This window comes from Homo sapiens, chromosome 3 (genome assembly GCF_000001405.40).
Source record: "Homo sapiens chromosome 3, GRCh38.p14 Primary Assembly".
NCBI lineage: Eukaryota > Metazoa > Chordata > Mammalia > Primates > Hominidae > Homo > Homo sapiens.
In genome coordinates this window covers 73,869,569-73,879,922 of record NC_000003.12, presented here as the reverse complement: position 1 = coordinate 73,879,922, position 10,354 = coordinate 73,869,569, and the positions used below count along the sequence as shown (strand labels likewise).

Genomic DNA, 10,354 nt, shown 5'->3' with positions numbered 1-10,354 from the left:
TTCAATAAATCCGGATTTCTCCATCTGTACCCACAAGCCAGCTCTTCCTTTTGACTTTTTCCCCCAGCTATGAGTGTTTCACCAATACTAAGGGTTTGCAATCTTGGGATCATTTTTCATTTTCTCTCTTTCTCTTATACTTTATCTGTTTCATAATCTTTTAAATTCCATATCTTTAAAATATTTCAAATATCTTTTTTTCACAATCCCAATGCTTATGCTCTAGTTTAGCATTCATTTCTCTAGTGTTTTCCATGTTCATTTTCCTCCATCTTAAACATCATAATTATAACTCAATGTATTTGACTGGTTTTTATTGCTTATAATAGAACTCCCAAAACTGGGTAATTTATAAAGAAAAAATTATTTATGACAGTTGTAGAAGCTAAGAAGGCCAAGGTCAAGGGACTGCATCTGGTGAGGACCTTCTTGCTGGTAGAGAGACTCTGCAGAGTCCCAAGGCAGTACAGAGCATCACATGGCAAGGGCGCTGAGTGTTCTACCTCAGGTCTCTCTTCCTCTTCTTATAAAGCCACTGTTCCACTCCCATGATGATCTATTAATCCATTAATCATGAGTGGAATAATTCATTTATCAGGGCAGAGCCCTCACGATCCAATTCTGGGACTCCATGTTAAAGACCCCACCTATCAGTACTGTTACTTTGGGGATTAAGTTTCAACATGAGCTTTGGAAGGAAAATTCAAATCATAGCACCAAAATTCTCATATCTTATCCTTTTCTATCCAGCCCGATTGTCAAGAATATCAGTTATGGTGTAAGCTGGACTCAGACAGAATCTCATCTCTGCCACTTACTAGCTATCTGATCTTGGGCAAGTAACATAATCTCTCTGAGCCTCAGCTCCTCTTTTATAAAATAGGGGAAATAACAGTCCTTATTTCACAAGTGCAGGGCATGTTACCTGGCATATAGAGAATGTTCAGTAAATAGGGGGTTCATAAGGGTGAAGGTGGTATCTGTAGTGGTGGCAGCAACAGTAGCCAGAGGTCTGGTCTCCATCTTCCCTTATTTATGCAGTAATCTTTCAGGAGCTCCTGAAAAACTTGCAAGTAGTGACCAACCAACCATTCATTCACAGGTAGCCTCGCAGATCCTGTGAAGAAGAACACAAATGTCAGGAGTTGACCAGCTAAAACCAATTGCTAAAACCAATATCAGAGAATTTTTATAGGAATTCAAAGAGAAATTTTATATTAAAAAGGTCAGCCCAGTGCCTGGCCTAAATTAAACAGTCAAGAAATGAAATTATTCTTGGAGACATTTTAGAGGGGTTTGAATTGTAGTACTAAAATGAGGATGTATACTTATGGTAACCAGCTGAGGAGACTGTAGCAGACGTGAAAAGATTTGTATCTCCTTGCCCTCTTGAATTTAGTCATGCCCAAGTAATTTGCTTTGGTCCATGAAATGCTAGCTAAGGTGACCTTTATTAATTCCAAATAGAAACATTTAAATGCTAACACTCAGTTCTCCAAACTTCCCCTGCCAGGCAGAAACTCTCTCTTCACCTTCAATGGAACATTTAGTGTGAGTAAAAAATAATTCTTTGTTTTTCTACGCCACTGCAATTTTGGGGGTGTTTATTACTGCAGCATAACCCAGCCAATCCTGACTGTTAGGGTTGATAACCAGTGTCAGGGAGAAATCCTATGGCCTCAGAGAGCCACTTAAATATTCTTCTCACCCTTGATCTATTCTTATTAATAAAGTGGGCTACACAGTTTTCAAAGTTGAATTAGTTAATAAGATCCTTGGGGCTTTGTCTTTAATGAGAAATAACACTGACATGAGAACTGGAACTTGCTAGAAAACCAAACACTGCAGGAAGCTCATCTCTGCTCTTTAGCTTTTATAACTATTCCACTGCTACTCCAGAGTTTCCTTTTGGCTTATGTCTCCTGCTCCCCACTTCATGTCCACCCATTCTGCCACAGCTCCTCAAGTTACACTAGATGAATATTATCCTAGTAACTCCATATTTCCTTCCTTCCCACATGCACACTCACTTTTCCCTCTACGTGGAAGGCCTTAAAAAAAAAATCATTCCTTTATCTGCATGACTAAATCTTACCAATCGTTCAAGGTCCATCCTAAGTCCTCTCTCTCTAGAAGACTTCTTGCCCTTCCCAGCAGGGAGTTATAATCCCTTTGTGATATCCCTATGGCATTATATGTATATTTTCTTTGACTTACTATTTTTAAATCTTGTATTATTTTTTATCAACTTATATATTTTAAACGTCTTAATAGATTGAAGCTGTTCAAAGGCTTGATCCATGACTTACATATCTTATCCTGGGCAATTTAATAGATTTCTTTGGCCTTAGGATGTCCTCATAGATAATTGTAATGAATGATGATAAATGGAGTATTGATATTTAGCTGTATGACAAGACTTGGCAATATGTAACACAAGAAATAAACTGTACTAAATTTTTTTAATGTCACAATTTGTAGAAAACCTAACCACTCATCATTACCTCTTCCAAATTCTGACTCAGTTTTGAAATTGGCCCAGAAACTTTGAGTGATCATCTTTATTAGTGGTGAAACTGAATTGGAAAAGGTAATTTGGATTGAAGGCCAAAATGGGGCTTCCTACAACAGGCCTCTGGAACTGATTGTGTCCAACCAGTCGCAGATACAGCAGCTAGAGGTGTGCAGGCCTCCCTGGCAGATTGGACCAGGAGGGCCTGGTCCTGGTGAGATTATGACTTAATGGCCAGAGTTACAGGGAGAGCATGCAACACTTGCTGCAGGCTTAAGAGAGAACCAGGCTCTAGGCAAGGCATGAGCAATGACCTTCATCCAGACTCACCAATGAAATAAGAAAGGAATAAGGTTTAGAGAGAAGTATTTCCTGCTTGAGATGATCAGGAAGAAACTCAGGAAGAAAAAGAGCAGGGTTATCTAACAAAAGACACGCTCATAAACTTAGGTCATAAGAACTAAACTAAATCACTTAATCACAAGATATAAGAATACAGAAGGAAGGACACACAATTTTTCAAATTTCCTGTGGGTTTGATGTCAGATTTTTAAGACATAATACATATGCTAAGAAAAATAGGCTTTAGATTATGTTTGGAGAATCGTATATGCTTCCATTCTCCGAAGTAAATTATTTAAAAATATCAGTTTTGTTCTGTTTAGTTACTCACTCACATACAAGTTTTGCACTTTAATTAAAGGATTATATTGTTAGAGGTCAGAAGATGATACCCCAAAATGAAGGCCTCAGAAGCAAAAGATTCTTTCCAACCTTCCCCTGCCTTCCTGTCTCTCAGTCGGATTCTCCCTCAAGGCTAGCCATAGAAACTAGAATCCCTCTTCTGCAAGGTGGTCATAGACTCCAGAACCCCTTTTTCCCAAAGCCAGCCGTAAAATCTAAAATATTACTTTAACTTTTGTGCTTTCCTTTCTGTGCAAAAACTGGCCATAAAGAAATTATCTGGCCTATCTTGTTTAATTATAGGTCATAAGACCTTCCACCCCACACCCAGAAGGATGACATGTTGCATAGAGAGGCCAAGAAGAATCTAGACAGACAGACCATGCTGGGATCTCCACTCAACCCGTTAGCACTAAATCATTTTTTTTTTATCCAATCATATTTCTACACAGCTGCTGCAACTTTGTTGATTCTAAGCATAAAAATGGACAGCTTCCCCTGCACGTTTTGGTCTTCATTCTGAAGGCTCCTATGCCATGTAAAAGTTTGATTGAATAAATTTGTATGCCTTTTCTCCTATTAGTCTACCTTTTGTCAGTGATTTTCAGTGAATTTTCAGAGGGCAAAGGGGAAATGTTCCCTTGGCTTCTACAATATTAACTGGGCTGTATTATATTGACCAAAAGTCTTAAGAAAAACAACAGCTTTGAATAGGCACCGCTGTCTACTGACTGCCCAGTTGGGCCCAGGAAGACCATGGTGGCATGTATACACAAATGAGGTCACATGTTCATACTTGAAATCTGCAACATTTTCTATTCTGACACTACAGTCTTCCCACCTGACCCAGAAATGCAAACATCCCATGTTTTTCAGGAAGAATGTCAACTCCAGAGATGTGGCAATTCAGCAAGTAGATGGCTTCTCTGGTGAAAAACTACATTAGATCTCAATAAAATACATTCCATTAAAACTTAGCAGCAGGACAAAAGTGTGTTACTGCTTTTATTGTCTGAATTGTGTCTCCTATGTGGGTTTGTAATGCAATATTACATGTTGTTAGGGCATTTACAAAGAGTTTTCAAATCATTAAAAGGCTATTGTCAATAGAATGATGGAAAAAGGATGAGAAAGTATCCCCTCCCCCTCTGCAATCCTCAGCCCTCCCCAAATGCCAGCACCTGGAACAAGCCATGCTGTGCCTTCATAAAAAGCTGTTGGAAGCCTGAAAAAAACAGGCAAGATAGAATTAAGAAAAATGGGCATATCCCACTGACCCTGAGTATAGAAGAGAAACGTAGAGAATGTATGAGTTATTAGCACAGTAGAAAAATATTTTATTTAAGAACCACATCTTCACAGCTCTGTCTGAAAGGTTTCACTCAAACTGCAAAAAAATAAGCATAAAGATTGAAAGCTCAGGATACTCAAGGATCTATCATGTTGTGTGTAAAAGAATCATAAAATCATCAGCAAAAAGAAGGACACAGTAGGAGTCCCAAATTGTAAACCATTAAGCTCTTAGGCATGTGTCATACTTCATCCTAAGGGATAAAAAGAGGAGTTTCAAGTGAATTCCCCAGCTTTGTTTATGGCACAGCTCTTTCTGACAATAAGGTTTACCTTTCAAAAAATCAAAGTCAAGGTTTGGCTTGGTTTTGTTTGGCATTCATCTTCAGCAACAAGTGAAATACATTTGCATTTTAGGTCCTCAAAATAAAAGATTTCAGAGAACCCATTGCCAATTGTTATCAAAGAATGAAAGAGAGAGGAAAGAAAGCAAACAAAAATGCTGTATCTTGGCCATTAACATAGTGAGTCCTTGAATGACAATTCATGAGTAACCAGGACAAGGGCTATGTCTAAGAAGTATACACAGCTGCCCAAAACACTGAGAACCTGATCTTCGTCTATGTTAAATGGTCTGTCTGTGTTTGCTCACTTCATCTGCACAACAATCCTGTAAGCTGGTGTTTACAGAGAGATAAAACCGTCTTGCTCAAGGTCACACTGTTTGTAGATGGCAGAGCTGGAGTTCGATTCCCATCTCTGACTCTAAAGATATGCTTTAAAAGAGGGTTTCTCGACCTCATCAGTATTGTCATTTGGGTGGAATATTCCGTTGTTGTGAAGGACACTACAATGTAGGTCATCCTTGGCTTCTATCCACTGGATGCCACAGCACCTCCCACTCAGTTGTGACAATAAGAAATGTCTCCGGACACTGCCAGATGACCTCTGGGGGGCAAAACGGCCTCTGGTTGAGAACCACTGCTCTAAACTACTTTCACTCAAAAACGTAGACTATGCTCTAGTTAACAGACTATGAACATAAGGAGCTTGTGCCAGCATGCAAATCAACTATGTCACTAAGCATACTGTTTACTTCAAATGACATTTTTTTTTTCAATAGCAAGACTTTTTTAGTAAGGAAGCAATGTGTGGATTTTCATTTTGGAGCGAGCTGTTTATCTCATCAAAGACCAGCACTATGGATAGTGCTGCTATAAATTATTGTGGTATATTGCCTCCCTGAAATGGTAATATTCAATAAGGATTTGATAAATTACTTTTCAAGTTATTTTCCCCCTTAAGCCTGTATTAGATAGTCTTTATTCTGGCAATACACTTCTCATCAATAATCAAAAATTATTATAAAGCTGAGTTTAATAAATGGCTCTTAGGTTTGGTTTGAGTGTTTGATTGTATTGCTCTCTCCCTGACCTTCAGGTTACTAGGTGACATTCCTGATTGGAAAAGCTCAGTGCCCAGCTAGACAGCTTGCCCCACACTAGGCTATTATAAGGTTTGACAACTTGGTCCAGAATAGTCATTGCAATCTACAAGTAACTGGAGGCTGTGTGGTTCCCATCCTCTCCCACTCCCCTTAGGGACACTGCAGTTGGGGAAGATGGGAACTACAGAGTCTCCAGTTACCTGTAGATTGCAATAATTATACTAGCTGTTTTCCCAATAAAAATTCTATTGTCTTATCCTCCTTTACCATCTCAGCAACTAATATTCATAAATAGCAACACCTTCTGAGAGTTAAAGTACTAACAGCAGCAGCAGCAACACTATTTAAGAATAATTGAATGCTTCATTATGTACTAAGCATTAAGAGCTGCATATACATTAGCTCAGATAGTTTTCACAATAACCATATGAAGTAGGCACTATTATAATATCCATTTTACAGATAAGGAAACTGAGATCAGAAAAATCCAGTGCCATGACAGAGGTATTTTGGCTGGAATCAGCCCAGATAGAACTCTGAAATTTGTTCATTTTTTTCTTGAACTTTTTATTACATAGAATTTCAAACATAGAAGAAATAATAGACAGAAGAATATAATAAACTTCATAAATAAGTCACCAGTTACAAAAATTAGCAACTCATGGACAATCTTGCTTTAATCCAAAACCAAATCTGCTTTCTTTCCCTTATTACTGGAAAGCAAATCCCACACAGCATCATCCATAAATATTTCAGTACGTTTATCTAAAAGATAAGGACTATTTTTAATAAACATAAATTTCAAGCCATTATCAGACATAAAATATCATTGATTATATCAATATTATTAAATATCATCAATTGTATCATAAATGTTATGAATGTTTCTTTTTCTATTTTATGGTTCTTTAGTTTGCATCAGAATCTAAGTAAAATCAATTCATTGCAACCAGTTGATCTATGACTTCAGTCTCTTTTAATCTCTCCTTTCATTTGCAATTTATTTGTCATAAAAGTTGGGTTGTTGGACGGGTACGGTGGCTCACGCCTGTAATCCCAGCACTTTGGGAGGCTGAGGCAGGCAGATGACTTGATGTCAGGAGTTCAAGACCAGCCTGGCCAACATGGTAAAACCCTATCTCTACTAAAAATACAAAAATTAGCCAGGTGTGGTAGTGTGTGCCTGTAGTCCCAGCTACTTGGAAGCTGCTGCAGGATAATCGCTCGAACCCAAGAGACAGAGGCTGCAGTGAGCCAAGATCACACCACTGCACTCCAGGCTGAACCACAGAGCAAGACTCTGTCTCAAAAAAAAAAAAAAAAAGTTGGAATGTTAATCCTATAGAGCAAGCATCTGTGTCATCTATTGTTTATTTTTTCAAACTTTTAAAAATTTAAATACATACATACATACATACATAAAATAGAGCAATAAAATTTAAAACCATCTTTTAACCATTTTTAGCTTGAGGGTGTACAAAAACAGTCAAGGGACAGTTTAACCACTATAGTGGAATGTTCCACAGTCTGAATTTTGAGGATTGCAACCTCTTGTTGTCATTAATATGTGTATTAGTCCATTTTCACACTGCTATAAAGATACTACCTGAAACTGGGTAACTTATAAACAAAAGAGGTTGAATTGACTCATAGCTTCACATGGCTGGAGAGGCCTCAGGAAAGTTCTAATCATGGCAGAAGGTGAAGGGGAAGCAAGGCACATCTTACATGGCAGCAGGAGAGAGAGTGCAGGGCAAACTGCCACTTTTAAACCATCAGATCTTGTAAGAACTCCCTCACTGTCATAAAAACAGCATGGGAAAAACTGCCGCCATGATCTAATCACCTCCCACCAGATCCTTCCCTCAACACTTGGGGATTACAATTCAAGATGAGATTTGGGTGGGGACACAGAGCCAATATCAACCATATCAACGTGTTTCTCTATTCTTTGTATTTTCTATAAATTGTGGCTGGATCTAAAGCTTGATGAGATTCAGGATCAATCCTTTTGACAAGCTACATCATAGGTAGTGTATTCTTCCACCAAAAAGGACATAATGTCTGGCTTTTATTCTTCCCAAATTTCGTTTTTAACATTAATGTTCTGTGTAAGTACTTGACTTCAAAGAACTTCAAAGTATCTTATGGGCACATAAAATACATACATATATATATATATAACAATATCAAATAAGTGGTTTCCTTATTCTTACAGTGTTTTTTGAGTGACTTCTCTGCTAGGCATTGAATTAGGTATGTGGTATATCGAGATGAAAAAGCCAGAGGCTCTACCGTCAAGGAGTTGTCTTGTGGTAAGTGTTTCACTGATGCCATGTAGCACAGCCAGTCAAATAACGAACCTGGCTTGTAGTGAACCAGGGAAGCTGCACCCGGCAAGAAGGAAATAGAATGATAAACATTCATAGGAAATAGAGATCAGGTTCTCTTGCTCTGGGACAAGGATGCTTTGTAGAATTATGATGTCAGTTGGACTCAAGACAATGGGAAAGACTTAGAGAGATGAGGTCAATCATCTCTGTAGATTCCAATGAGGAGGAATCCTATGAGCTGCAGTACCAGTGCAGAGGGGCATAAGATGTGTGCATGGCCAGGAAGATGAGCAGCTGGGTGAAGCAGAGGGGCTGTTTAAGGGTTATCATGGGCAGACCTATCATTTTAGGCAATCCCATTTATAAAATCTCCAGAGTCAGACAATCCTTTGGTAACCATCTAGTTGAGTAACAACAACAACAACAAAAACAATGATATCAAGCACATTTTTATTATTTTATTGAGTCTTCATAGGAATATCATTGGGTAAGCGTTATTAGTCTCCATTGTACAGCTGAGAGAAAGGAGTTCCAAAACTCTTCATTCTCCCTCTACTCAAGTTTACCCAAGTTGTAAATGCCAAGGCAAGGATCTGAACTCAGGTCTGTGCTACGATTCATTTATATGGGCACAGATTTCCCCTGAAAGAATACCATGTTGACCCAATCTCTCATGAAGGATCTCTCATGTTGGGGGTTGTTCAGGATTCCACATCCCAGGAGGGGCTACCACATTTCTTCTTCAGATACTTATTTCTGCCCCTAATCATTTAGACGACTTTAAAAAAATGTTTTTTCAAGAGAAGAACAATATGGTAAAATAGCAAGCTTGAGAAAAGAGGAGTAAAGCAAATGAATTGTCATTCTGGTCAATACAGTTGCTCTGATATAAAATCTGTCTCTAGGCACCAAGAAAAAAAGGAAATAGAAATAAGAAGTAGAGAAGAAACTCATATTTATTGAGACTGTCTGCACCTGGCACTGTCCTGGCACTAATTAACATAATTCATATAATGTCAAAACATCCCTGTGAGGTAGCTGAGAGATGATAGTTTTTTTTAACTTTTAAGTCCAGGATACATGTACAGGCTTGTTATATAGGTAAGCTTGTGTCACAGCAGTTTGTTGTACAGGTTATTTTATCACCCACCCAGGCATTAAGCCTAGTACCCATTAGTTATTTTTCCTGATGCTTTCCCTCCTCCCACCTTCCACCCTCTGATAGGACCCAGTGTGTGCTGTTCCCCTCTATACGTCCATGTGTTTTCAGAGAGATAATAGATTTTTTAAAGACAAAGTTCCTACATGTAGACCAAAAGAAATTTCTCACGTAGGAGGATATTGAGTTATATAAGAGCCAATGCTACAGTATCAGCAAAAACTTTGAAAATAGCACACACAGGGACACCGCTACCAGTTAATACCCAAATCGCCATCCTCAGCCACCTTTGCCTGTTAATACCCACATATTGGCAAACTCATGTGAATGAAATGATCCCACTGTGCAATTTTAGTCTGTCCAAGATTTATATGGGTTCAGACTGAGGTGAGTAGCAAAAACTAGAAAGAGCCAAGAAAACTGGTAAGCAGAAATAATAAGCAGAACAACAATAATTATAATACATGAAGACAAGCAGGTAGTCATCTGAAAAATAGAGTGGAGAGTGTAGAGTAAAATAAGGAAAAAATGCAAACCTGTATAACTTGAACTTCAAAGGCAGATTGGTAAGGCCAACTTCTCCACAGCAGACAGCTTCAAGAGAATGGATTTCTCTGGTTCAAAGTTGGATTCTGAAAGAAAGTTTTCCCCACAGATATTTTTCCTCAGTCCAGTCAGTTTAGCCTCAGTAGCATCTGGTGGTAGGAGAACCATGGGGTATCCTATAGAGACAGAGAGGATGATTTGATTATTCCCATAATAATATTCATACACAAGAATGATATGGCTAGATGTTAAATTGAGGGGGGAGGCCGGGCGCAGCGGCTCACACCTGTAATCCCAGCACTTTGGGAGGCCGAGGCCGGCGGATCACGAGGTCAAGGGATAGAGACCACCACCCTGGCTAACACGGTGAAACCCGGTCTCTG

At 38.7% G+C, this 10,354-nt stretch overlaps 1 long non-coding RNA gene across 1 annotated transcript in view, besides 1 other annotated feature; it reads right to left on the bottom strand.

Annotated features, from left to right (window-relative positions):
- Positions 1–301: 301 nt before the first annotated feature.
- Positions 302–10,354, bottom strand: part of LINC02005 (long intergenic non-protein coding RNA 2005) — a 70,378-nt gene continuing 60,325 nt past the window's right edge. Inside the window, exons 3-4 of the long non-coding RNA NR_146637.1 lie at positions 9,962–10,147; positions 302–1,117 (exon numbers count right to left, since the gene is read on the bottom strand). This is a non-coding gene — a long non-coding RNA (long intergenic non-protein coding RNA 2005). The remainder of the gene's footprint in view (positions 1,118–9,961; positions 10,148–10,354) is intronic.
- Positions 4,776–5,277: an enhancer, noted in NCBI's record as "NANOG hESC enhancer chr3:73923797-73924298 (GRCh37/hg19 assembly coordinates)". NCBI's record gives its function as "activates a minimal SCP1, AML or CMV promoter by ChIP-STARR-seq in primed H9 embryonic stem cells {active_cell/tissue: H9 hESC(primed)}" and the evidence as "EXISTENCE:reporter gene assay evidence [ECO:0000049][PMID:30033119]".